Source organism: Homo sapiens, chromosome 12 (assembly GCF_000001405.40).
Source record: "Homo sapiens chromosome 12, GRCh38.p14 Primary Assembly".
In the NCBI taxonomy this organism is placed as follows: Eukaryota; Metazoa; Chordata; class Mammalia; order Primates; family Hominidae; genus Homo; species Homo sapiens.
In genome coordinates, this window is record NC_000012.12 from 124,092,381 (window position 1) to 124,120,108 (window position 27,728).

At 48.0% G+C, this 27,728-nt stretch overlaps 1 protein-coding gene across 2 annotated transcripts in view, besides 4 other annotated features; it reads left to right on the forward strand.

The window, feature by feature from the left end:
• The window catches only part of ZNF664-RFLNA (ZNF664-RFLNA readthrough), a 342,810-nt gene that overhangs the window by 119,166 nt on the left and 195,916 nt on the right, over positions 1–27,728 (forward strand). The window lies entirely within an intron of this gene.
• Positions 18,023–18,524: an enhancer, noted in NCBI's record as "NANOG hESC enhancer chr12:124594949-124595450 (GRCh37/hg19 assembly coordinates)". NCBI's record gives its function as "activates a minimal SCP1, AML or CMV promoter by ChIP-STARR-seq in naive H9 embryonic stem cells {active_cell/tissue: H9 hESC(naive)}" and the evidence as "EXISTENCE:reporter gene assay evidence [ECO:0000049][PMID:30033119]".
• Positions 23,088–23,634: an enhancer, noted in NCBI's record as "H3K27ac-H3K4me1 hESC enhancer chr12:124600014-124600560 (GRCh37/hg19 assembly coordinates)". NCBI's record gives its function as "activates a minimal SCP1, AML or CMV promoter by ChIP-STARR-seq in primed H9 embryonic stem cells {active_cell/tissue: H9 hESC(primed)}" and the evidence as "EXISTENCE:reporter gene assay evidence [ECO:0000049][PMID:30033119]".
• Positions 24,180–24,725: an enhancer, noted in NCBI's record as "H3K27ac-H3K4me1 hESC enhancer chr12:124601106-124601651 (GRCh37/hg19 assembly coordinates)". NCBI's record gives its function as "activates a minimal SCP1, AML or CMV promoter by ChIP-STARR-seq in primed H9 embryonic stem cells {active_cell/tissue: H9 hESC(primed)}" and the evidence as "EXISTENCE:reporter gene assay evidence [ECO:0000049][PMID:30033119]".
• Positions 24,726–25,270: an enhancer, noted in NCBI's record as "H3K27ac-H3K4me1 hESC enhancer chr12:124601652-124602196 (GRCh37/hg19 assembly coordinates)". NCBI's record gives its function as "activates a minimal SCP1, AML or CMV promoter by ChIP-STARR-seq in primed H9 embryonic stem cells {active_cell/tissue: H9 hESC(primed)}" and the evidence as "EXISTENCE:reporter gene assay evidence [ECO:0000049][PMID:30033119]".

Consider the following 27,728-nt stretch of genomic DNA (forward strand, 5'->3'; position numbering starts at 1 on the left):
CACTCCAGCCTGGGTGTCAAAGCGAGACCCCATCTAAAAATAAATAAATAAATAAATAATAAAATAAAAAAAATAACAGTAGATGGCTCAATATAACATCAGCACTGGTGATGATGATGATGACAATGATGATGATGGTAAGGGTGATGATGATGATGGATATTATGGTGATGATGGTGATGATGGTGATGATGATGGATATGGTGATGGTGATGATGGTGATGGTGATGATGGTGATGGTGGATATGGTGATGGATGATGGTGATGGTGGTGATGATGGTGATGGTGATGATGGTGATGTGATGATGGTGATGGTGATGATGATGGTGATGGTGATGATGATGGTGATGATGATGGTGATGGTGATGATGGTGATGATGTGATGATGGTGATGGTGATGATGATGGTGATGATGGTGATGATGATGGTGTGATGATGATGGTGATGGTGATGGTGGTGATGATGATAGTGATGGTGATGGTGATCATGATGATGATGGTGATGGTGATGATGGTGATGGTGATCATGATGATGATGGTGATGGTGATGATGGTGATGATGATGGTGATGGTGTGATGATGGTGATGGTGATGGTGTGATGACGGTGATGGTGATCATGATGGTAGTGATGATTGTGATGATGGTGATGGTGATGATGGTGTGATGATGGTGATGGTGATGGTCATGATGATGGTGATGGTGATGGTGTGATGATGGTGATGGTGTGGTGATGATGGTGATGGTGATCATGATGGTAGTGATGATGATGATGGTGATGGTGATGGTGATGGTAATGGTGATGATGGTGATGGTGTGATGATGTTGATGGTGATGGTATGATGATGGTGATGGTGATCATGATGGTAGTGATGATTGTGATGATGATGGTGATGGTGGTGATGGTGATGGTGTGATGATGGTGATGGTGTGATGATGATGGTGATGGTGATCATGATGGTAGTGATGATTGTGATGGTGATGATGGTGATGGTGATGGTGATGATGGTAATGGTGTGATGATGATGGTGATGGTGGTGGTGATGAATGTGATGGTGATGATGGTGATGGTGATGGTGGTGTGATGATGGTGATGATGTGATGATGATGGTGATGGTGGTCATGATGGTAGTGATGATGGTGATGGTGATGATGATGGTGGTGATGGTGTTGGTGATGATGGTGGTGATGGTGATGGTGATGATGATGGTGGTGGTGATGGTGATGATAATGATGGTGATGGTGATCATGATGGTGATGATGATGGTGATGGTGATGATGGTGATGGTGATGATAGTGATGGAGAAGATCATTACTATTATCATTGATATACTTACCTTGAGGGATGCCCACGTTTTAAGAGTGTTAAGAGGAAAGGGGAGTCAGGGAAGGCAGCAGGAAGAGGGGTGAACACGAAAACCCAAGGGATGCAGGGTTGCAGGATCATGGGAGGTGAGAGTGGACAGAAGTGGCGATGGCCCAGGGTCAAGTTGTGTGGGGAAGTCAAGTGGGGAAGGCATGACAAGCAGAGACCAGAAGGGCCTCACTAAGCTTGGCATGGGAGAGAGAGAGCACTGGACTGGGAGTCTGGCACTTAAGCACTAGAGGTGAGCTGTCTAGCCTGGCAGCCACCAGCCACACATGGCTATGGAGCACTTGAGATGGGGCCAGTGTGAATCTAGATGTGCTAGAAGTGTAAAATACTCACTGGGTTTCAAAACTTAGAGGAAAACAAGGTGTTTTTCTCTAAAATGATCTCGGTGACAATTTGTTATGATGGTTACATGCTGAGATGGTAAGATTTGGGATATATCAGGTTAAATGAAACCTATTTCTTAAATTAATCTCACCTCTCTTTACTTTTTGAAATGTGACTACTTGAAAATTTAACATGGCATCCATAGCTCACATTCTCTTGCTACTGGACAGCACTATGCCAGGCCTGACTGTGCCACTAAATATAGGCGCGACCTTGGCCAAGTCCTTTGTGCATTCTGGGTTGCTGTCTCCTTTGTTTGTAAAGCCAGGTGCTCTTCAAGGTCTGTGCAGGGCATTCTGGGTGTGGTATCTAGGTCATGGGGAACACAGAGAGAACACGGAACTGTCCCAGCGGGAAGGCATATTTAAGGACCAGGGCCAGTAGAGGCATAAGAAAGCCAAGGTGAGGACTGCTTGCTGCAGAGGGTTGACAATGCTGGTGAAAAAAGGGAAGGGGCTAAAAATCATTATACATTCTCCTGCAGAGACTTGGGCAGTTTGTAATCCAAAGAGAGGGAACTAACGTGGAGAGAGAGATTAGATCGACGAGCGAGAGGGTGAATTGATGGAAGAGAGTGCCGCGAGAGTGGCAGGAAGGAGATTTAAGGTCAGGGCAGGAATTAACCTTGGAGGACCAGGAGAGAATGAACAGGTGAGAAATAAATTAAACAATTAGCACACTCATCAAAACGGTGTCTCAAAGCACAAATGAAGGGGAATCGGGTGCCTCCGAGGACAGCACAGCTAACAGGTGTTTAGGAAGTCAGGAGGGGAGAGAGGACTTGCTGCAGAAGGGGAAATTGGAGCTGGCTGAGGAAAATGAGTGTGTTTGCACAGAACACGTCACAGAGGAGTGGGGAGGCATGGGCTCACTGGGATGGGCAGGATGTAGGCCAAGTGAGGCCACGATAGGAAAGTCCCCAAAGCCCAGATAAAAGCAATTGCAGCCCAAATGCCAAAGAATAGAAAATCAAAGGCAAAAATAAATGTGTTGTGCTCTTTGACCCTAACCAACCTCTTTTTCCAGTTTGAGTTGGGGGCTGGAAAGTCAGGCCAAGGAGGTGCTTTGCTGCTCCATGCTGAGGGCAATGGCTAGTCACAGACCCAGACATTGGTGGGTATTTCATTTCAGCACCTCTACTCACTTGCTGTGTGGCCTTGGGGAGATGACCTAACCCCTGTGAGCCCAAGTTTCCTTAGGGGGTGTTTTGGGCTTAATTATGTCACCCCGCAATTCATATGTTCAAGCCCTAAGTCACAGTAATGTGACTGTATCTGGAGTCAGGGTCTTTGAAGAGGTGATTTAGTTAAAATGAGGCCATTAGGGTGGGCCCTCATCCAGCATGACGTGGGTCCTCATAAGAAGAGGAGATTAGAGGCCGGGCGCGGTGGCTGACGCCTGTAATCCCAGCACTTTGGGAGGCTGAGGTGGGTGGACCACGAGGTCAGGAGTTCGAGACCAGCCTGGCCAACAGAGTGAAACCCCGTCTCTACTAAAAATACAAAAATTAGCTGGGCATGGTGGCGCACGCCTGTAGTCCCAGTTACTCGGGAGGCTGAGGCAGGTGAATGGCATGAACTCAGGAGGCGGAGGTTGTGGAGAGCTGAGATCGCACCACTGCACTCCAGCCTGGGCAACAAAGCAAAACTCCGTCTCAAAAGAAAAAAAGAAGAAGAAGAGATTAGTTATGACACAGACACACAGAGGGAAGATTGTGTGTCTACAAACCAAGGAGGGAGATCTCAGGAGGAACCAGCCTTGCGGACATCTTGATGTTGGGCTTGTAGCTTCCACAACAGTGAGGAGGTCATTTCTGTAGTTGAAGCTGTTCAGTCTGGTGCTTGGCTATGGGAGCAAACTAATGTAGGAAGATGGCAGGACCCTTTACGAGGTATTGTGAAGACTCAATAATGGTATGTAAGTGTCTCAGCACACAGCTGAGAGCCAGGGAGAGTCGTTTCCATTCATAGTGGCTTGGAAGCTTCTGTAAGTGAGTGAGAGAGGGAAAACCCAGGTCTTCATGGTGTCCCCCTCTGGGGACAGTGCCCACTTCTCTTCAGGCTGGTGAACGTCCTGCTGATGTGGACACCGCCAAGTGGAGTGTGGGTCACTGGAGTGAGGTCCTGCACACACAACGGCCTCGGAGACACACACAATTGGACCAAGCATTCAGGAACACCAGCTTGGCGCGCTCCCGGCACCGGAGGGACGCTGCCCCTAGTGACGGTCGCTCCGGCTGTGACGGCTTCCCTCCAGATGCCCTCACTGGAATCCCAGGATGTCCTGGGGGGAATTAAATTAAATCCTGCCAAGGACCTCAGGGGCAGCTGTTGGACAGAGCTCTCCCCTCTTCTCGACTCTCCACCCTGACGAGATAAACGGGCGGTTTCTTTCCTACCTTTCTCCGTGGATCAGTTCACTTTAGACCAGACTTTGTGTCTGTAACATCAACACTGTTGCTGATAGAGACTGTCCTCAGAGGAGGTGTGGTTCCAGCATGTCTACGTACCCATCCAGAAAGGGCGAATATTCTCTGAATTCCCCTAAATCTTTTGGGGCTGGAGCATCCTTTGCAAATCACCGATTCTAAGATCAGCGTTGAGGGGCACCACCAGAACCTCATGTTCAACCCAAACGTGGAGAAATTCCTCCTCTCTTGTTCAGAATCTCACTTCTTGCTCCTCTCTCAAGTGTGCTGAGAAATCAACATTTTTTCTTAGTGCCTCAGCTTCAGACAGAGGTTTAGGAAAGCCACCATCACTGCCTTCTTATTTTGACTCTCTTACCTGTTCCTGTCTGTCCGTCTCACCCAGAAGGAGGAGAGGGCCACGGCTGGGCTAGGCCATTCCCAGGTTTAGTGGGTTGATCTAGACTTCAACCTCACGACCTTGAACGCCTGGCCCTTCCATTCTCTCACCTCTGTGTGCAATCCTCCCTTATGCTCCCTTAGTGAGGGGAGCCAGCCTGCCAGCTGGTAGCAGCGTACAACAACTGATCAACAGTCCTTCCCAGCTCAGAGCCTTTTGTTCCTTTCTTTGTTTAGAGACAGGGTCTTGGATGTTGCCCAGGCTGAAGTACAGTGGAATGGTCACGGCTCACTACAGCCTCAAACTCCCCGGCTCAAGCGACCCTCCTACCTCAGCCTCCCAAATAGCTGGGACTATAGGTGTGCACCACCACACCTAGCTAATTTTAATTTTTTGTAGAGATGGGGTCTTGCTATGTTTCTCAGGCTGGTTTTTTTCGAACCCCTGGCCTCAAGCAATCCTCCCGCCTGGACCTCCCATAGTGCTCAGATTACAGACGTGAGCCACTGTGCCTGGCTCTATTTTTCTTCTTTCCCTCCCCAAGAAAGAAGACAAGGAGATGAGAAACCTCAGCCCTATTTCTTTTTGCTCTGCAAAATCCAAGCCCCATCTTTTTCCTGTTGCCACCAAATTGAGGGCAGCCCCATGTTCCTTCACTGGCTTCTGACCCAAAACTCAGACAAATAAGATCTTGGCATTTCGTGGGCCAAACACAAGAGGTTTCTTTTCTTTCTTTTCTCTCCCCTGTTCCCCTTTTAAAAGTGGGCCTCGGAGGTGTTGCTTTTCCTGCTGAAAGTTCCATCCGATTGGATTTCATGACAGGAAATACCTTACCCACTCTCTCCCTTTCTGCCTCCGCAGTGTTCTCTCCCTTCTGTGGTACGGCTCAGCCTGTTTTGGGCTAAGGAGGCCAGCAAGTCAAACTGAAACAATGTATTACTTGGAGCCAGGCGTGTAAAATGAGGATGCTTGAAGTCGAGCCCAGTGTTTTCTCTTTCCAAATAAACCCCGATGCCCCCAAATGGAAAAATCCAGCTCTCAGAACATAAGCCTGCTGGCTTCTCTCTGGCTGAAAGGTGCTGCATTTGAGCTATTAAAAGGACTCTTTCTATTTTGCAAAAACCAAAGCTCCCCTTGGAGGTTTATGCTGTTCCATGGGGGACTGTTTCTTTGCTGGATGCTGAAAACAAAGGAAACACAACAGCGGCGCTTGCGTGTGTGACCTCTGATGGATTCTGAGAGGCTTTGACACGGCTTGTCTCAATGAATGCTGAGGACACTGTGAGGATGGTGGGGCGCAGGGAGGTTAAGTGCCCAGCGTTACATGATAGGAAGCAGCCGTGGCTGCACTGGAGCTAAGACTTCTGACGCTGGGCGCACACCTGTCCTCAACCAGCTGAGGCTGTCCTGACGCTCTCGTTGGAGGGAGAGAAGGAAGAGTGTCTCACAGCCCTGGATCATCAGTCTGGTCCAGATGCTCAGTCCTGATCCCCTTGGGTATTCCACTTACCATATGTTGGTGCTTCCAGCCTCTGGTCCTAACTCAGGGGCATCACCCTCCAGGAATTGCCCATCGGCCTCTGCAGTGTTGACTTTGCCCTTTTTGGATGCTGACTCTGCATTTGTGTGAGGGTGGGAGATCCACCTTGGATCTCAGCTTTGGCTTTTGGATGTGAGGATAAATTCAGGGTCTTTTTGTCTTTAAAGGAAAAAAGGCTGCATTCTTCCTACCAATCCGTCAGAGCTTTACTTAGGAACAAAGTGTCCTAAGCTTCCGAGAAATTCCCTATCCCTGGGAAGCAACCCCAGGGTTCTCTGTAAGTGACAGGAATGGTTGCTCTGGAGGAATTCTGAGTTGCTGCTAACTCCCGACAGCCTGCCTGACCAGGGCCCCTCGCCTCCTGTCATCCTGAACTTGATTCAGGTTTTGTCCTTGCTAAGGAAGCCAAAAGAAAGGGTCTTACTCCATCTTTCTGCCCTTGGCTTCCTCATTTTCCTTCTCCTGTGAGATCTCGAACAAGCGTCTTGAATGGCTGCTTATGAATAGCCCGGGATGTGGGTTGGGTCCTCCTTCCCGGTCACCCGCCTCCAGGGTGGACATGCCTGCCTGCGGCCCCCACCTCTTTGCTGCATGACACTGTCTTCATAATAAACATCTCTGGGTGACACAAGATTGATGCCTCCATAGAGGCTTCCCGTGGCTCACACAATGCCCCTTTTGTAGGAATTCATGTTTTTCTGCAGGGCAATGCTTGCTGACACTGAGCTGCTTTTGCCAAGATCATAACCCCCACTCCTCACCCCAAAGCTTTTAGGAATGAAGAATTTGGAGCTGCCGTTAGGCCTGCGGATCCGCTGGGTTTCTGCTCGGAGCTGATTGCCACTGAAGGCTGCTTGGACCAAGTCCATATCCCATGGAACTCTGGGCTGGGATGATCCGACCCCTTACAAAGGGCTCTCCCCGGGAATGCCATGCAAAGCATGGTCCCCAGGCTCCTAATTCAGATCTAGAAGCCCCTCAGTGTCTCCCAGCTGCGTGACATTTTGCTGAAATACCAGAGCTATCCCCGCCCCCATTAGCCTCAACTCTGCCTAACCCTCCAAGGACACAGGCAGGTTGGCCAACCTCCACTCAGGAGGCTGGCCCTACAGTATCCAGGCAGGGAGCTTGGGCTGTTGTGTTTCCATTTTCTGTGGGAAATGTCTGAAATGTACATTGCACCTTACAGATCATCAGAAAGATCTCAGCTGGCCTTTGGGAGGCAGAAGGACCCTAAGGGGCGAGGGGATGTGCCTCACTGTAGTGCTGGGACGGTGGCGGGGGGGATGTGCCTGACTCTAGTGCTGGGACGGTGGCGGGAGGATGTGCCTCACTCTAGTGCCGGGACGGTGGCGGGGGGATGTGCCTCACTCTAGTGCTGCGACGGTGGCGGGGGCTTGGCTGTGAGACTCTGGGGAGCAGAAAGCACTCATGGACTTGTCTCCTTTGTGCCTGAAGCTTCCCTCGGGCCGTGTGTCCCATAGGAAGCCGACTCTGATTCGATTAATAATTATAACATCAATGTGTGCTCCCTGCAGAAAATTCAGAGGACACACGGGACAGCAGAGGATGATTAGTACGGACTAGAAGTCACCAAGACCCCTCCTCTTTTTTTTTTTTTTTGAGACGGAGTCTCGCTCTGTCGCCCAGGCTGGAGTGCAGTGGCGCGATCCCGGCTCACTGCAGGCTCTGCCCCTCGGGTTCACGCCATTCTCCTGCCTCAGCCTCCCGAGTAGCTGGGACTACAGGCGCCCGCCACCAGGCCGGCTAATTTTTTGTATTTTTTAGTAGAGACAGGGTTTCACTGTGTTAGCCAGGATGGTCTCGATCTCCTGACCTCGTGATCTGCCCGCCTCGGCCTCCCAAAGTGCTGGGATTGCAGGCGTGAGCCACCGCGCCCGGCTTTTTTTTTCTTTTGTCTCTCTTTTTTTTTTTTTTTGAGACAGGGTCTCACTCTGTCACCCAGGCTGGAGTCCAGTGGTGCGATCATACCTCACTGCAGCCTCAACTTCCTGGGCTTGTTACCCGCGGGTCTTTGTTCTTAGAGCTCCCAAGATGGCGGCAAGCCTTTTGTTCTCTGACCTGGGGTTCTTGGCCTCAGGGATTCCAAGGAATGGAACCTCGGCCATGCAGTCAATGTTTTAGCTCTATTAGAAGCCGTTGGTCACGGAGGAGAACCGCGGACCCCAGCGACTAGTGTTCAGCTTGATTAGGACGAACCCTAATCTGAGCCGCACAGGAACAATGGTGAGCCTCTAGCCCCATCGGGAGCAGCAATGGGTGCCTCGCTGGATCAGAAACGCAGCGGACACCCTGCCGGATCCGGAGGGGTGGAAGTTAGTGGCGGGTCTGCGACGGCGGCAATCAGCAGTGGTGGATGGTGAGTGAAAGCTCAGCTCGAGCTGGAACAAACACGGCGGAGAAGACTGTGCAGTTGTAAGATGTAATAGAGTGAAAACAGAGCTCCCATATAACGGGAGGGGACCCGAAAGCGGTTGCCACTAATGGCTCGAATGCCTGGGTTTATATCCCTATCATTGTCCCTCCCCCTGTGCTCTCAGGCGACAGATGATTGACTATTTCTTTTTTTTTTTTTCTCTCTGTCCAGCAACCACAATTGTTTACTTTTTGGCATGTTTTCTTCCATTATTATTTTGTTTTGTTTTGTTTTGTTTTTTATTGATCATTCTTGGGTGTTTCTCGCAGAGGGGGAGGGATTTGGCAGGGTCACAGGACAATAGTGGAGGGAAGGTCAGCAGATAAACAAGTGAACAAAGGTCTCTGGTTTTCCTAGGCAGAGGACCCTGCGGCCTTCCGCAGTGTTTGTGTCCCTGGGTACTTGAGATTAGGGAGTGGTGATGACTCTTAAGGAGCATGCTGCCTTCAAGCATCTGTTTAACAAAGCACATCTTGCACCGCCCTTAATCCATTCAACCCTGAGTGGATACAGCACATGTTTCAGAGAGCACAGGGTTGGGGGTAAGGTCACAGATCAACAGGATCCCAAGGCAGAAGAATTTTTCTTAGTACAGAACAAAATGAAAAGTCTCCCATGTCTTCCTCTTTCTACACAGACACGGCAACCATCCGATTTCTCAATCTTTCCCCCACCTTTCCCCCCTTTCTATTCCACAAAACCGCCATTGTCATCATGGCCCATTCTCAATGAGCTGTTGGGTACACCTCGCAGACGGGGTGGTGGCCGGGCAGAGGGGCTCCTCACTTCCCAGTAGGGGCGGCCGGGCAGAGGCGCCCCTCACCTCCCGGACGGGGCGGCTGGCCGGGCGTGGGGCTGACCCCCCCACCTCCCTCCCGGACGGGGCAGCTGGCCGGGCGGGGGGCTGACCCCCCCACCTCCCTCCCGGACGGGGCGGCTGGCCAGGCAGAGGGGCTCCTCACTCTTCCCAGTAGGGGCGGCCGGGCAGAGGCGCCCCTCACCTCCTGGACGGGGCGGCTGGCCGGGCGGGGGGCTGACCCCCCCACCTCCCTCCCGGACGGGGCGGCTGGCCGGGCAGAGGGGCTCCTCACTTCCCAGTAGGGGCGGCCGGGCAGAGGCGCCCCTCACTTCCCGGACGGGGCGGCTGGCCGGGCGGGGGGCTGACCCCCCCACCTCCCTCCCGGACGAGGTGGCTGCCGGGCGGAGACGCTCCTCACTTCCCAGACGGGGTGGCTGCTGGGCGGAGGGGCTCCTCACTTCTCAGACGTGGCGGCTGCCGGGCGGAGGGACTCCTCACTTCTCAGACGGGGCGGTTGCCAGGCAGAGGGTCTCCTCACTTCTCAGACGGGGCGGCCGGGCAGAGACGCTCCTCACATCCCGGACGGGGCTGCAGGGCAGAGGTGCTCCTCACATCTCAGACGATGGGCGGCCGGGCAGAGACGCTCCTCACTTCCCAGATGTGATGGCGGCCGGGAAGAGGCGCTCCTCACTTCCTAGATGGGATGGCAGCCGGGCAGAGACGCTCCTCACTTTCCAGGCTGGGCAGCCAGGCAGAGGGGCTCCTCACATCCCAGACGATGGGCGGCCAGGCGGAGATGCTCCTCACTTCCCAGACGGGGTGGTGGCCGGGCAGAGGCTGCAATCTCGGCACTTTGGGAGGCCAAGGCAGGCGGCTGGGAGGTGGAGGTTGTAGCGAGCCGAGATCACGCCACTGCACTCCAGCCTGGGCACCATTGAGCACTGAGTGAACGAGACTCCGTCTGCAATCCCGGCACCTCGGGAGGCCGAGGCTGGCGGATCACTCGCGGTTAGGAGCTGGAGACCAGCCCGGCCAACACAGTGAAACCCCGTCTCCACCAAAAAAATACGAAAACCAGTCAGGCGTGGTGGCGCGCGCCTGCAATCGCAGGCACTGGGCAGGCTGAGGCAGGAGAATCAGGCAGGGAGGTTGCAGTGAGCCGAGATGGCAGCAGCACCGTCCAGCTTCGGCTCGGCATCAGAAGGAGACCGTGGAAAGAGAGGGAGAGGGAGACCCTGGAAAGAGAGGGAGAGGGAGACCGTGGGGAGAGGGAGAGGGAGAGGATTGACTATTTCTTTACCTCCTGCTTTTAGCCTAATTGGTATTTCAGTGAGTCACTTAGTTTTTAAAAAGTTTATTTTATACCAACATGATGATGGTATAATGTACACATGATAAAAAGTATCCACTTTAAATGTACAGGGTGATGGGTTTTGACAAATGAATACACCTGTGTAACCTCTACCCTGGTCAAGACTTAGAAATGTTTCCAGCACCCCATAAAGTTCCCTCCAGTCCTTTTGCAGTCAGTTTGCCCCTCCCACCTTTGGGCAACTACTGTTCTGATGTCTATTAGTTGTGAAGTTCTAGAACTGCAAATCAATGGGATCCTGCAGGATGTTTTGTGGCCATCTTTCTTCACTCAGCAGTACCTTTTTGATCCCCCTGTGTTCCTTCTTGGGTCTGCAGGCTTGTTCTCTGTCGCTGACTACCATCCAATTGGATGACTAAACAAACTATAAATATAACTTTTTTTATGAATAAACAAATAAGTAAAAAGTTTATCCATTTGTTCTCCTATTGATGGATGTTTCACTTAGTTATGTTACAAATCTTTTCTGTGTTTCTAATAACTTCACAATTTTTTTTTGAGATGGTGTCTTGCTCTGTTGCCCAGGCTGCAGTGCAGTGGTATGATCTCCGTTCACTGCAACCTCTGCGTCCCAGGTTCAAGTGATCCTCCCTCCCCAGCCTCCCAAGTAGCTGGGACCACAGGTGTGCACCAACACGCCTGGCTAATTTTTGTATTTTTTGTAGAGACGGGGTTTGACCATGTTGCCCAGGCCGGTCTTGAACTCTTGTACTCAAGCCATCTGCCCTCCTCGGCCTCCCAAAGTGCTGGGATTACAGGTGTGACCCACTGCGCCCGGCCAAACGTCACAATTTTAATGCCTGCCTCATTCATAGGGTGCCTTTAAGAATTGTGCTGAATGGCTGTTTTATTCACAGGTGTTTAGGTTTGTCTGTTGTGATAAACATCCTTATACGCAAAGTTTTGTCCAGGAGAGATGCTTAAAAGCAAATGGCAAAATCAAAGCTCCGAACATTTTAAAGGTTCTTGACACACACACTGCCACCTTTCTTTCTCTGTACATTATGTGTATAAAAGAGCCTAAATCAGCCATCTCAACAGTGTGGAGGAGTTTGGCTTTTTCATCTTTTGCAAATTGGATGATTTGAAGAATTATTCCAATGGAGCAGAGATTATTCTAATTTGCTTTTTTGTTTTGAAGAGAGACTGAACATTTTCCCCCATATGTTTGACTCTTATATTTCTTTTTTGTGAAATAACTTTAATTTTCTTTACCCACTTACCTATCAAAGAGACGTTTCCTTTTTTCTTTCTTTCTGTTTCTTTTTTTTTTTTTTTTTTTTTGAGATTGAGTCTCGTTCTGTCGTCCAGGCTGCAGTGCAGTGGCGTGATCTTGGCTCACTGCAACGTCCGCCTCCTGGGTTCAAGCGATTCTCCTGCCTCAGACTGCAGTGTGTGCCACCAGGCCCAGCTAATTTTTGTATTTTTAGTAGAGACAGGGTTTCACCATATTGGCCAGGCTGGTCTCGAACTCCTGACCTCCTGATCCACCCGCCTCAGCCTCCCAAAGTGCTGGGATTACAGGCATGAGCCACTGCGCCTGGCCAGAGACAGTGTTTTCTCATGTATTTGTATGAAGTCTTCCTCTATGAAGGCTATCAACTCCTTGTCGTGTTTGTTTCAGGTATTTCCCTTAATTTGATATAGTGGATTGGTTTTGTAGATGATGCTTCTCGATTCAATGTCAATGACAAAATTATCTAGCCAGTCTATTGTTTTTGATGGTTTCTTTGTGAATTTCTTTCATTGTCTTAAATCATATAAAGCCCTCCTATACCCCAAGATTAAAGAACTGTTGTATTTTTTACAGTTTTAGTTTACGCTTTTAACCATCTGTAATTTATTTTGGTATATGGTTTGAGGTAAAAATCTAAATTCATTTATTTTCCCCAATTGCTACCTCCCAATTGTCCCAGCACTATTCATGAAATAATTTGTATTTTCCCCCAGTTAACACTACCTTTGTCATACATCAATTCTTGAATTTCTGTCAACTGTTAACATTTATTAATGCAGGGTGTTTTGTTTGTTTGTTTGAGACGGAGTCTCCCTCTGTCGCCCTCAGGCTGGAGTGCAGTGGCGTGATCTTGGCTCACTGCAACCTCCACCTCCCAGGTTCAAGGTTCAAGCCATTCTCTTGGCCTCAGCTTCCCGGGTAGCTGGGATTACAGGCGTGTGCCACCATGCCTGGCTAATTTTGTATTTTAGTAGAGATGGGGTTTCACCATGATGGCCAGGCTGGTCTCAAACACCTGAACTCAAGTGATCCACCCGCCTAGGCCTCCCAAAATGCTGGGATTACAGGCATGAGCAAAGTGCTGAGATTACAGGCATGAGACACCACACCTGGTCATTAATGCAGTTTTATAAGTGTAGTTTACTGAGACAGTTTTAATACATGGGGGGACAGTTTAATACCTAGATCCCCTCTCTCTTACATCTTCTTTAAAGTTAGCTACTCTTGCCAGGGCAAGTTTTCAGATGAATTTTAGAATTATTCTGCAAAGGCTGAAAAAATTCCATAAAGAGTCTTGACTGATTTACACTAAACCAACACACTGATTTGAAAGAATCCGCATCTTGGCAAATTATCGTTGTGAGTTGTATTGTTACCGGGGATCCTTGTTCTTAGAACTCCCAAGATGGCTGCGGGCTGCTTCCAAGATGGCGGCAAGCCTCTCGTTCTCTGACCTGGGGTTCTTGGCCTCACAGATTCCAAGGAATGGAATCTTGGGCCATGCGGTGAGCATTATGGCTCTATTCAGCTCGATTAGGACGAACCCCCGGCACTTAGCCCGCACAGGAACAATGGCGAGCCTCTAGACCGATTGGGAGCGGCAATGGGCACCTCCTCACTAGATCAGAAGTGCAGCGGACACCCTGCTGGATCCGGAGGGGTGGAAGTCAGGGCTGGTCTGTGACAGCGGCGATCAGCAGTGGTGGAGGGTGAGTGAAAGCTCAGCTCGAGCCATAACAAACACGGCCCAGAAGAGTGTGCAGTTGCAAGATTTAATAGAGTGAAAACAGAGCTCCCATAAAATGGGAGGGCACCCAAAGGGGGTTGCCCTTGTTGGCTGGAATGCCTGGGTTTATATCCTGATCATTGTCCCTCCCCCTGTGCTCTCAGGCGATAGATGATTGGCTATTTCTTTACCTTCTGTTTTTGCCTAATTAGCATTTTAGTGAGCTCTCATTACTACCTGATTGGTCGGGTGTGAGCTAAGTTGCAAGACCCGTGTTTAAAGGTGGATGCGGTCACCTTCCCAGCTAGGCTTAGGGATTCTTAGTCTGCCTAGGAAATCCAGCTAGTGCTGTCCCTTAGTATCTAGGGTATAGATCCTAGGGCTAACCTGAACTGGGTTATAGAGATGAGGGGAAGGGGCAGGGGAGAGGTGTGGCGGCACTTTGTTTTTAGGCCTTACATCTGGAAGCTTGTTAAAGCTTTGGCAACAGAATTTCTAAATTTGGTGACACCTGATGATGAAACTCCCACTGTGGAGCTCTGTCTGGGCCGTGCTAGAGGGTATTTGTCATTCATCCATGAAACCAGCGCCGCCCAAAGTCTCTGGTGCCCACACAGAGCACCAGGCAAAGCAACAAAGGACTGGGGTGTCCCATCTCGGCCCAGTTGCCCATGCCAGGGTTTAATTGTAATTTCTCTGTACCTGGCTTTGCCATTGGGACTCCTGGGTTTCACGTGCAACACAGCTACCCTACCTGAGAGTCCTTTCACAAAGGGCAAAATCAATCCGGCTGTCTAGTTTGAGCTTTGCTTGGGGACAGGCCCTGGGAATGGGCTGAGCCAGTCGGATAAGCCACAGTGAACTCATGTTGAGTGGTGATCATGGGGCAGAGCAGGGACAAAGTGAGGCGATGAAGTACTGGCCACAGTGAGGCTTCAGTCTTACATCGCTTCTTTTGTATTTTACCAGCAAGACCTACTGGCATTTCTCTTCCTTCTCTGCCTTCGTTTCAAAGGACATGGGGGCCATTAAACTGTTATGCCCGTCTGTGTGAAGAGAACACCAAATAGGCTTTGTGTGAGCAATAAAGCTTTTTAATCACCTGGGTGCAGGCGGACTGAGTCCGAAAAGGGAGTCAGCAAAGGGAGATAGGGGTGAGGCAGTTTTATAGGATTTGGGTAGGTAGTGGAAAATTACAGTTAAAGGGGGTTGTTCACAAGGTGCAGGAGTGGGGGTCACAAGGTGCTGGTGAGAAGGCTCTGATATTCATTGTCCAGGAGAAGGAATGTCACAAGGTTAATTCATCAGTTAGGGTGGGGCAGGAGCAAATCACAAGGGTGGAATGTCATCAGTTAAGGCAGGAACCGGCCATTTTCACTTCTTTTGTGGTTCTTCAGTTGCCTCAGGCCATCTGGATGTATTCGTGCAGGCCTGGGCTCAGAGGCCTGACAGAAACATGCACCCAGAGGCGGGAGCTAACATCAGCGAAAGCCCATACCTCTCTCAACAAGATTCCAGTTCCTCCCTGTTGGCCACCTCCTTCTGGGGGCTTCTGCTCTGTATCCCATTGGTTGTGTGACATCATCAGCTTCCTCTAAAAATTGCAAAGGACACAGAATCATTTTGCCTCAGAGCTGGGCTGCATGAGATTTAGTACTGCAGACAGCTCTCTGTATGTGTGGGTTCTGCATCTGGGGATTCAACCAACCTCGGATAGAAAATATTCAGGAAAAAATTGTACTGAACATGTACAGAGCTTTTGGTTATTATTTCCTGAACAATATAACAATTATTTACATAGTATTTTCATTGTATTAGGTATTATAAGCAATCTGGAGATATTTTAAAGTATACAGGAGGATGTGCATAGGTTATATGCAAATACCACACCATTTGATATCAGGGACCTGAGCATCTGCACATTTTGCTGTCTGTGGGGGCCCTGGAACCAACCTCCCACAGATACTGAGGGATGGCTGTACTTAGAACCAGTAGTGTGCTGGTAATTGTATAACAGTCAGCTCTCCAGAAAGAAAGAGAGAGAGGGAGAGGGAAAGAGAGAGAGACAGAGAGAGAATGTGTGTGTGTGTGTGTGTTTCTCTTATAAGTTTCACTAATGTAAAGAAAGTGTGGCACATACTTTGCAAATAATAATAAAATATATAATATTTTAAATATAAATTTCATATACCCAATGAATTCTTATAGAATGCATTCTTTGATTTTTGTCAAACTTGCATCTATACCCAACCTATGGTTGTAATTGACTGACAAGTATAGTTTACATGTGAATGTTGGTTGGTATTTTTGTTTACATTAGTGAGAAAGATGAAAGTGAAATTACCAAGATGTGTTGAAACTTCATGCATTCATCAGCGATGTGAGTGGCTTTGTTGAATTGGATAATAGTTTTGGAATACTGGAAGAGTATTTCTTCAACATTTTTTGTGCTATTCACAGTGTGACAGCTATAGACATGATATATTTTAAAGTTTCATCTGTAGTATTGTCATATTTTCCATGTCTTTCTTAAGTCTAGGCAATAAACAAAACAATAAACAAACCTTTGATTTGTAATATTTGTCAGTTTCCATGGTGTAAATGCACCTACCAAGGTCAACTTCAAGCTAGCAATGTGATGTCACTGGGTGTAGAATTAGGAAGGGCTGCATCTAGCACACACTCCATAATGAATTAAATAGTGGATTGAATAAATAGATTGGTAGAAATACTATAAATATATAATATTTCTACCAGTCAGATACCATAGATGTAAATAACTTCAGAAGCATAAGTAATAATAAAATGTAGTAAAATAATTATGAAGACATGAGTTTTCAGTATTTATTACCTTTATTTTAATATAACTTCATTTTAATATAACTTCATTTTAAGTTTATATTTATTAAATTTTGATTAATGGTTGTGCTTAGTAGCCAGCTTGCAAAATTTCTGAAAATTTAACTATCAGCTCCCATGAGACAGTTCAACAAGAAATAGAGGAGAGATGATGACAGGACAGGAGTTGGTGCCAAATTAAGAGAAAAGATGCAACCAAACAAGGAAGTTCCTGTGCCACTTCCTGGACATAGTTTGTCTGGATCCAGATAAAGGAAGAAAACGAACATGTATTGAGTACCTACTATGTGCTAGTCATTGATTATAATCAATCTTGTTTAATTCCCATGGTGGCTTTGCAACGTTTCACGATTCTTTTCAGTTTATAAATGAAACAACTGGTATTTAGAAAGAAGAAGTAAATTGACAAAGGTCACACAGGTAGTAAATACTAGAGTTGGAATTCCAGTCCAAGTCCCTATGAATTAATCCAAGTCCAGAGTTAGGAGCCATCTCTTTTTTTTTTTTTTTTTGAGACGGAGTCTTGCTCTGTCGCCCAGGCTGGAGTGGCGCGATCTCGGCTCATTGCAAGCTCTGCCTCCCGGGTTCATGCCATTCTCCTGCTTCGGCCTCCTGAGTAGCTGGGACTACAGATGCCCACCAACACGCCCGGCTAATTTTTTGTATTTTTAGTAGAGACGGGGTCTCACCGTGTTAGCCAGAATGGTCTCGATCTCCTGACCTCGTGATCCGCCCGCCTCTGCCTCCTAAAGTGCTGGGATTATAGGCGTGAGCCACCGCGCCCGGCCGAGCCATCTCATTTTTATATTCTGATTGTGTAGACCATGTCTGGGACATGTTGCCCAATTCTGGACCCCTGACTTCTAGAGGCATATTATCAGAAGAGGTTTTAGCAAACATGGAACTACTAGTTGCCTACCCAACATCGTTCTTCCCTATTCTAGCTAGTGAAACTACATTTCCCAGGCTCCCTTGTGCCTAGGGGTGATCACATGGCACAGCTCTGGCCAATCAGCTGTAAGTGGAAAGCCAAAGGCGCCTTCTGAGATTGTTTTGCTTTCCTTATTTAAGCAACACTTCTTCCTTTTGTCACTGTTTTTTCTTGCTTCAAGCAGGGACATGAGGCTGGAGGTGGAACGGCCATCTTGTGACTTTGAAGGGACATTCTCAATAATAGATAGGGAGGGAGAAAGATAGAAGGGGCCTGAGATATTGATAGGATCATGAAGTAACTGCCTAAACTCATTTTATAAGAAAGAGAATCCCTTGTTAGTTCACATTCATGCCATAATGAATGAATACATGACTGAATGGATGAGAACTAATGCTTATGGAGCACTTACTATGCAGCCTATTGCAGCCTATTTCACATGCATAATGTCAGTCTGGGTTACTGAGTTTGGAGTTTATCCTGTTGCAATGGACAACAAAGTGAAGTTTTTAGCAGGAGAGTGGCAACCACTGGGCGCAAGTGTCCATCCATGCAGCCAAACTCAGTGCCAACCGAGAGGGTCTTCTTGATGAAAAGGCTGTGTCTTAAGACAAATTGTGAATGAAACTAAGAATATTTTACCTGTTTCAGAGGGTATCACAGTAGAACACTATGTGAGGGGCCAGGCATATCCTACTGACCTCAGAGGCCAGATCTGGGACCAGTGAGTAAGAATTTCAAAGAAGACAGTGAGTCTATAGAAGGAAGAAGTTGTTTCATTTAGGAAGTCAGTGAATTCCTTGTCAACAGAGATATTTACATAAGTGGATTGCCCATTTGGGAGGAATGTGGAAGCAGGTACAACCAGGAAGCAGTGTGGCCTCTGAGGCTCCCTCTTACTCTGAATTTGGTTTTATGACCCAGCTCTAATGGGCTCATCTTTCTGTATTTTGATTCTGTCAAAGCTTGAAAAGTGGCCATAGGACTCCTGGGCCCCTTTCATCTTATGTCTTATAAGATTCCAGAAAGTTGGTTGATGTGTCTTTTAAACTTGAGCTGCCACTGTCCCACCACCAGGCACACGCTCATCAATCTCTTTCTTCCGTGGTTTTATTAAAGGGTCTTTCATGTGTATTAAAAATGCAAAACATCTGCCCAATGCCAGTTTCAGAAATGCACAAATGTGAAAGGTTTGGTTTTTACAAGTTTTCTTATGACAGCTGCCACAATGTCATTAATATGTAAATTCCATTGGCTGAAAAGGTTGACTTTTGGTCATAAATCGGCTGTTTCCTCTTGATAATCCTATCTGACTCTCCAGCTGTCTAGACAATGGAAAAATTAACACCATGAAACAGAATAGTTTAAAAACCTTTGGAGCCAAATACTTAAAAAAAATCAAAATCCACGGCAAGAAATGTGAGACCAATTAGTTAATTATGCAAGGAATCCCTCTGGGGCACCGACCTTGAATAATAGTAAGACCTTATGTATGAATAGCACGATAATAGCGTGAAAAAGTACTTTCCACACTTTTTGATCCCTTGGAATGTGTGACTATTCCCGTGACCTTCCTGCGAGGTTATAAAGACCACCAAAATGTGATACCTCATCTCTCCAGCATTGCCATCACACTCTCATCTTTAATTTTTTTTTAAGAGAATTTTTTATAGGAGTCTCGCTCTGTCACCCAGGCTTGAGTAGAGTGGCACGATCTTGGCTCACTGCAACCTCCGCCTCCTGGGTTCAAGTGATTCTCATGCCTCAGCTTCCCAAGTAGCTGGGACTACAGGCGTGGGCCACCACACCCAGCTAATTTTTGTATTTTTAGTAGAGATGGAGTTTCACTATATTTTGGCCAGGCTGGCCTCGAACTCCTGACCTCAGGTGATCCACCCGCCTCGGCCTCCTAAAGCGCTGGGATTATAGTTGTTTTAGGTGTGAGCCACTGTGCCCAGCCCATCTTCAACTCATTTTTTGCCAGAAAATGCAACCCCAGTCCATTCAGTTAGGTCAGTATGTGTCCTAATTAAGGGAAAAAAAATCACACATAAATCATTTTTTTTAAGCCTTAAAATCCTTCATTGGTTTTCCATTGCTTTTGAGATCAAAACCCCTGACATTTTAACATGATTACTGTGTGATTTGGCCACAGTCTACCTCTCTCCAGTCTCATTTCTTGGCAGTTTCCCCTGAGCCTTCTCCCCTCTGTCTAAACTGACTCTTTAAAACTTTTTCCAGTGTTCGATGATTCTCCCTCCACTTGCCTGCCACCATCCATGCACCCCTTCACCTGGTTAACGCCTACTTATTCAAAAGTCACTTCCTCAGGGAAAGACTCCCCATCCCAAAGTACATCAAGCTTCTTTGTTACACATCTTGATAGAAAAATGTTCCTTTCCTCCAGAATAGAGGTAAACAAACTACATCCATTGGGCCAAATCTGGCCCTCCACCTGTTTTTGTAAATAAAGTTCTTTGTTTGTTTGTTCGTTTTTCTGAGACCGAGTCTTGCTCTATTGCCAGGCTGGAGTGTAGTGGCGTGATCTTGGCTCACTGCAACCTCCGCCTCCTGGATTCAAGCAATTCTCCTGCCTCAGCCTCCTGAGTAGCTGGGACTACAGGTGCGCACCACCACGCCTGGCTAATTTTTGTGTTTTTAGAAGAGACAGGGTTTCACCATGTTGGCCAGGATGGTCTCGATCTCTTGACCTCGTGATCCACCTGTCTCAGCCTCCCAAAGTGCTGGGATTACAGGCGTGAGCCACCGTGCCCAGCATAAATAAAGTTTTATTTGCACACTGTGATGCTCATTTTTTTTTTTTTTGTATTGCCTATGGCTGCTTCTTGCAGAGTTGAGTAGTTACAACAGACACTGTATAGCTCACACAACCTAAAATACTTTCTGTCCGGCTCTTTATAGAAAAGTTTGGCAATCTCTGTCCCAGAGCATTGGTCTTGATTTGTAATGATACACTTATCATTAGATTATTTGATTATCTGTTTCTTCTTCTAGACTCTGCGTTCCAAGCAGACAGGAGCTAGGGTCTTGTTCACCCCATGACTCCATGTTTCCAGTGCTCAGCACTTGGCAGTTGCTCAGTAAATATCATTGAATAAATGAAGAAAAAGAAGAAATAAGAGAATGAAAGAAAGAGAGGCTGGGCGCAGTGGCTTGTGCCTGTAATCCCAGCACTTTGGGAGGCTGAGGTGGGTGGATCACCTGAGGTTAGGAGATTGAGACCATCCTGGCCCACATGGTGAAACCCGTCTCTACTAAAAATACAAAAGTTAGCCAGGCGTGGTGGTGGGCACCTGTAATCCCAACTACTTGGGAGGCTGAGGCAGGAGAATCGCTTGAACCTGGGAGGTGGAGGTTGCAGTGAGCCGAGATCACACCATTGCACTCCAGCTTGGGTGACAGAGTGAGATTCCATCTCAAATTAAAAAAAAAAAAAAAAAGAAGGAAAAAGAAAAAATGGAACAAAGGTTGGGCATTACTGTGATTATCTGTGATGCTAAAAATTCTGATCTTTTGAAAACATATCTACAAATTCTTAGACATTCCTGTCATTGAGAGATGGAGGGTAGGTGCTCTTCTCTGGAAACTAGGCAGCATTGAACTGCTTTGACCAATAGACTAGCGTGGAAGTGCCTCCATATGACTTCCAAAGCTAGGTCATAAAAGGCCATGAAACATCTACTTTGTTCACTGGAACACTCACACTTGGAGCCCTGAGCCATCATGTAAGAAAACCAATTATCCTGTGCCTGCCATGCTGGGGTGACCACATGTGACCTTCCAGTTGACAATGCATCAGGGTCCAGCCTTTCAGCCATCCTCCCAAAGGTGCCAGGTGTATGAATGAAGCCATCTTGGACCCTAGACCAGCCTATCAGCTAGTGAGGTACTACTGAATGATCTCTGTTGATAGCATAGAACAGAAGAATCACCCAGCCAAGCCCTGCCTGGCTTCTGCATGCAGGGAATTGTGAAATATAATAAAAGGGCTCTTATTATTATTATTATTATTTTTTAGATGGAGTCTCGCTCTGTCGCCCAGGCTGGAGTGCAGTGGCGTGATCTTGGCTCACTGCAAGCTCCGCCTACTGGGTTCGCACCATTCTCCTGCCTCAGCCTCCCGAGTAGCTGGGACTACAGGCACCCGCTGCCACGCCCGGCTAATTTTTGGATTTTTAGTAGAGATGGGGTTTCACCATGTTGGCCAGCATGGTCTTGATTTCCTGACCTCATGATCCACCCACCTCGGCCTCCCAAAGTGCTGGGATTACAGGCGTGAGCCACCGCACCCAGCCTAAAAGGGCTCTTATTTTAAGTCCCTATGTTTTAGACTTGTTTGTTATGCAGCAGTATCTCACTGCAGCACACTATGACTGAGCTGGTGACAAAAGGGTATCTTGTTAAAGTTGGTGTTTATGAAAAGTCACCAAAATTGCCTCTTTGCCACCCCCCCAGGCAGTTCCAGATTGGCAGAGCAAACATTTTTATGCTAATTTTTCCAAATAAGGAAATGAACACAGGTTAATTCACTTTAACAGATGCGTCAAGGGCCTACAATGTGGACTGTTGTGTCCCTACAGGAACTACAGATACGCTTTGTTTCAGAGCTGGTGGGGAGACACTGAGTGCTTGGAGGGGGAAGTGATATGAACCTTCCTAAATAGCCTCTCTTTGTCTTTCCAGGCCAGCCAACCTGTGACCTTCTCACATTTAAGTAGAACACCAAGAGTGTTTTAAAGGAAGTTTTCAAAGACTGGACAGGACAGTATTCCTATTGGGTGGCTGCCAGGGAATGCTGGGTCCAGGGAAGGATGGGTTTGACAATATGCAGAATGACATTCAGGGTCTGGGGTTCTGTTCCAGGAAATGGCAATTGTTGGCAATACAGTTTCCACCCTACCTCTCCCACCTCCAGGCCCTCTAAAAAATCCTCTTTTCCTATTTTATATTTTTAATAAGGAGAGGATTGGCATGAAGAGAAATAAGTCTTTCCTACTGTTCACTTGGCTTCTGATGGGCAGGAGCCAGGTTGCATGGCACGAATGTTTCCTTGTTGAGTTGCTCTGTGTCGGGGGGTAACTGGGCTCTGGGGGGTCAGGATCAGGGGTTCCACAGGGGTAGGCATTTGGAGGTTTATGAAGGGTGGCCTATGGCCTCAGGGTTTGGAATATGTGTGGATCTAAAGCAAATGTACTAATCCATTGCAGAGCAGTCCTATTTCTTATTCCTCCCCCAAAACACAGCACCGTTTACCTAAGTGACTTTGGAAGGCAGCTATGCTCCCCACTACACACCAGTGCCGCACTACATAAGTGACTTCGGATTCCTGTTCCACCAAGGGACAATTTGGATAGACATTTTTACCCCTAAGTCCATAAATTGTGATGAAGGAAATTTTAACATGGGTCTGGAAACAACCACCCTTTTCTCACGGCTGAAGTAAAATCCGATGAAAGATTACTGAAAGGTGGAGACATCATAAATCCCAAATAGAAGGATAATTTTACAACAGTTTGGAGGCTGAAGAAAAAAAAAAGAGACAAAAGAAAGAGCTGGAGCTCAATGTATGGGGAGTTGGAAGAAATGAAGGCAGAAAAATTCACCCAGAAGAAAACCGTTGGAGTTTTCCAGCCAGAGAGCAGTTCTGAACTGAAATGAATGAACCAGAACTAAAACTCTCAATTTCCTTCCTGCGCTGTAGGAAAATTGAAAATCTCAGTCCTCGTTGGATTCCAGTGGAAATAATTGTCTGCTCCCTTAAAAATGGTGAAGCACAATCGGGACCGTGTCCCGCCTGGACATCTCCCTTCGGCCCCTGTGGCCGGCTCGAGGCCTCCAGCCCCAGCCTCTGTCTCCTGACTGCTGTCACGGTGCAAAATGCTTTTAAAAGTCCCATGACAGTGGCATTGGGATTTGGCTTAGAAAAGAATTGTTTTTTTAAAAAAACTCAATTTGTGCCTGTCCCAGAACAGCTCACTAAAACATGCTAGAGACACACAGGGCCTTTGCCTCACATCTTCGCCTGGCGTCTTCGGCCAACCAGAACCTGGCCCGTGAGACTCGTGATCTCCTTGGCTTCACCGGTTCTTGTCCTTCATCTACAAATCGCAGTTAAAAATGCATTACCCCCCTGTGACTGTTAGGCAGGTAAATAAAAGTGATACACACAGGAGCGGCTTCAAGTTCCTGGGAAGGATAGGATTTTACAAACCCAGGTCGTGATCAGGAGTCGCATTGAGACAGGAGCAGCTGACTGCGTGGGCGTTGTGTACCCCGGTCCTCCTCCTGAAAAACCCCAAGTCCTGTCAGTCCCAAGGGGCCATCTCCTCCTCCGTGGCTTCCCCAGCCTTGGGGTCTTGGGGGTGAGGGTCAGAGGCACCTGGAGAAACAGATCCCTGGAAATAGAACAGGACGGAAGAGGTGCAAGGGCTCCTCTGCGACTATTAATGAAGCACGGGAAAAATCCATTTGTCCCCATGCCTTTGAAGCCGGCTGCGATAGAAGAGGCTGCCATTCTGTTTTTCCAAATGGGAGGAAACCCCTGTGCTGCTGGTGCCTGGTCCTGAAAAGAGCTGTGTTTTGGAGAGCAGAGGAAAGGGAGGATGGCTTCTGCCCAGGAAAACAAAAATGGGGCTCCCAGAAAGGGTATTTGGGGAATGTTGTGGGGGCGGGGATTGAGATGTGTATTTGGGGACTGCAGTTTCTTTCTTTCTGTTTGAGACGGAGTTTCACTCTTGTTGCCCAGGCTGGAGTGCAATGGCACGATCTCGGCTCACTGCAATCTCTGCCTCCTGGGTTCAAGAGATTCTTTTGTCTCAGCCTCCCGAGTCGCCGGGATTACAGAGGCCTGCCACCACGCCCAGCTAACTTTTGTATTTTTAGTAGAGATGAGGTTTCACCATGTTGGTCAGGCTGGTCTCCAACTCCTGACCTCAGGTGATCTGCCCGCCTCGGCCTCCCAAAGTGCTGGGATTACAGGCGTGAGCCATGGCGCCCGGCTGGGGCTGCGGTTTCTAAACCCTGTTTTATGAGGGTGGTTAGGACGTGGTATCTGGGGGCCAGCAGTGCCCTTAAGCTTGGCCGGCAGGGTGGAGGGCTGCCCTGGGACTGTGCTTCACAGAGCCACGCTCTGTAACTCCTTTGGCTGTGCCCCTCCCCAGGAGAGCGTGGAGTCCACCCAGAGCTTACAAAAGTCCCAGCAGGGCACGGTCAGACTAGAGAGAGCCCCAGGTGCAAACTTTAAGGAGGCACTCACATTCCAGATGGTGCAGGCGCAGAGGTGGAATCTGTGAGTGGGTGCCCCCTTAAACTGGGCTCCCCAGGGCGGCTCTTTTGCTTGCCCTCATCCCAGCCCTGGCCCTAGACAACTTCTGATACTTTAGGACCCCAGAATTCTCTGCCCAAATGGCTAGAGTCTGGGAGAGACCACCTTGCTGGGGTGAGGTGGCTGATACAGGGAGCATGAGGGGAGCACGGACACACAGGCTGGAGTGTCCACTCTGCGTGCATGAGGCTCCTTTTGTGTAGGATACACAGTGTAGACACAACACGTGGGGTATGTGGGATATGCGGGGTAGGTGCATGTGTGTACAATGTGTGTATAATGTTGAAGAAGTATCCTTTATTTTTTGAGACTGCACCCTGTCGCTCAGGCTGGAGTGTGGCGACATGATCTCGGCTCACTGCAACCTCCACCTCCGGGGTTCAAGCAATTCTCCTGCCTCAGTCTCCCAAGCAGCTGGGATCACAGGCGCATACCACCATGCCGGGCCAATTTTTGCATTTTTAGTAGAGGTGAGGTTTCACCATGTTGCCTAGGCTGGTCTCAAACTCCTGACCTCGGGTGATCCACCCACCTTGGACTCCCAAAGTGCTGGGATGACAGGCGTGAGCCACCGCGCCCGGCCTGAAGAAGTATCCTTTTATTCCCACCCTGCTCAGTTTAAGAAAATTTACATCAGGAATCGAGTTTTTCTAACACCCTTCCCAATGTCTTTTGAGCTCATTTTACACATAATAAATATTTGGAAGCTGAGCGGTTACTAGTATTAGAGTTGCTGCATCTCCAGACATGACCAGAGTAGGAAAACCGGAGCGCACTTGGATAGATATTGAGTCTCACCCACATGTAAAGTGCTGCTATTGCTGCAATTACTCTTGTGCACAAAAACGAGAACTCTTTTTCTCGAAGTTCACAATTTAACTTTCCATCGTGGCAACTCAGGAATCCAGGCGTGGAACACTTAGGTATCCATGTTCTCTGCTCTTCCATCCGGCTTCCTACAACATGGTGGCAGGACTTTGTGTGGATAAGTAAGCAGGTGAGGCCTCTGCTCAGTTGCAGGGTCCAGTGGGGCACCTGGCTGTCAGGTTCCAGGGACAGGCGGACCCCAATGAGAGGAGCTGGAATAGTCTGTGTGGTAATGGGGTATCCTGGGGAAGAGCCATTGTGTGTGTGTGTGTGTGTGTGTGTGTGTGTGTGTGTGTGTGTGTGTGTTTGTGTAGCTACCATGAGATTTGTGGTCTGTCTTCACAGTCACTAAAATAACAGATTACATCATTCTGGAGGTGGGATTCTATTTTTTAATTTATTTAACAAATTTATTTTTCCAGATTATGCTTACATTTATTTTTTTCCATTACCATTAAAATAAAAACTATACATTTTCGATTTCCTTTTTTTCTTTTTTTTTTTTTTTGAGACAGAGTCTTGCCCTGTCTCCCAGGCTGGAGTGCAGTGGCAGGATTTTGGCTCACTGCAACTTCTGCCTCCCAGGTTCAAGCGATTCTCCTGCCTCAGCCTCCTGAGTAGCTGGGATTACAGGCACCCGCCACTATGCCCAGCTAATTTTTGTATTTTTAGTACAGACCGGGTTTTGCCATGTTGGCCAGGCTGGTCTCAAACACCTGACTTCAGGTGATCCGCCCACCTCAGCCTCCCAAAGTGCTGGGATTACAGACATGAGCCACCGCGCCCAGCTACATTTTCAATTTCTTATAGAACTTATATGCATCTAGATATCCATAGATATCTGTAGATTTGAGAAATAGTTTTTTCTTTCCAGCTTTAGTGAGGCATAATTGATGGACAATGAATTGCATGTATTTAAAGTATACGATGTGATGGGTTTTGACAGATATATGTACCCAGGAAACCAGCACTGTAATCAAGATAATAAGTGTTTTCATCCCCATCCCCCAGCTGCTAGATTCTTTTTGGTGATGTATTTAGTGTGTGTGTGTGTGTGTGTGTGTGTGTGTGTATGTGTATGTGTGCGTGCACGTGGTGTACCACATGTTTTGATATACATATGTATAGTAACATGATTGCAACAGTCAAACAAATTAACACGGAGCTGGGATTTTAAAGACCATGCTATCCTCTCTCTCACTTGGGAACTGAGGCCAGAGAGAGGACGGGTGGTCCACAGCCACTCGAGTCAGATACCAGGGCTCTCGCCCCCCAGCGCTGACAGATGAGCCTGTCACTGCATCTGTGGTTGACCAGAGAAATAGAAAAGTTGCCAGAAGAGCCTCTAAAGAATAACTTTTAAAGTTACGTGGTGCTGCTTTGTTAATTTTCCAGACAAATTAGCTTATGTCTCTTTTGGTTGCAAGTGACAGAATATCCAACGAGGTTAAGCTCTAACATAATTTATTGCCTTATTTGGCCAAAGTTGCAGGCTTTGGGTGCAGCTGGATGTAGGGGCCTCAACAGTGTCATCAGGATGTGGTTTGAAGCCTCTCTCGAATTCTTGTCCCCATCTTCTCCATGTTGAGTCTGTTCTTGGGCTTCTCCTGTGGCCACCGGCAGCACCAGTCTCACCAGGCGCTCACAAGATGGCAGCACCAGTGCCCGCTCTTGGAAGAAAAGAGAAAACCGGGCCGGGCGCGGTGGCTCACGCCTGTAATCCCGGCATTTTGGGAGGCCGAGGCGGGTGGATCACCTGAGGTCAGGAGATCGAGATCATCCTGGCTAACATGGTGAAACCCCGTCTCTACTAAAAATACAAAAAATTAGCAGGGCATGGAGGCATGTGCCTGTAGTCCCAGCTACTCAGGAGGCTGAGGCAGCAGAATCGCTTGAACCTGGGAGGCAGAGGTTGCAGTGAGCTGAGATCGCGCTATTGACACTCCACACTGGGCGACAGAGCGAGACTCCGTTTAAAAAAAGAAAAAGAAAAGAAAGAAAACTGGCGCCTGGGTTCCAGCATTCTCATTGGCTCCTGTGGAGTCATGTGTC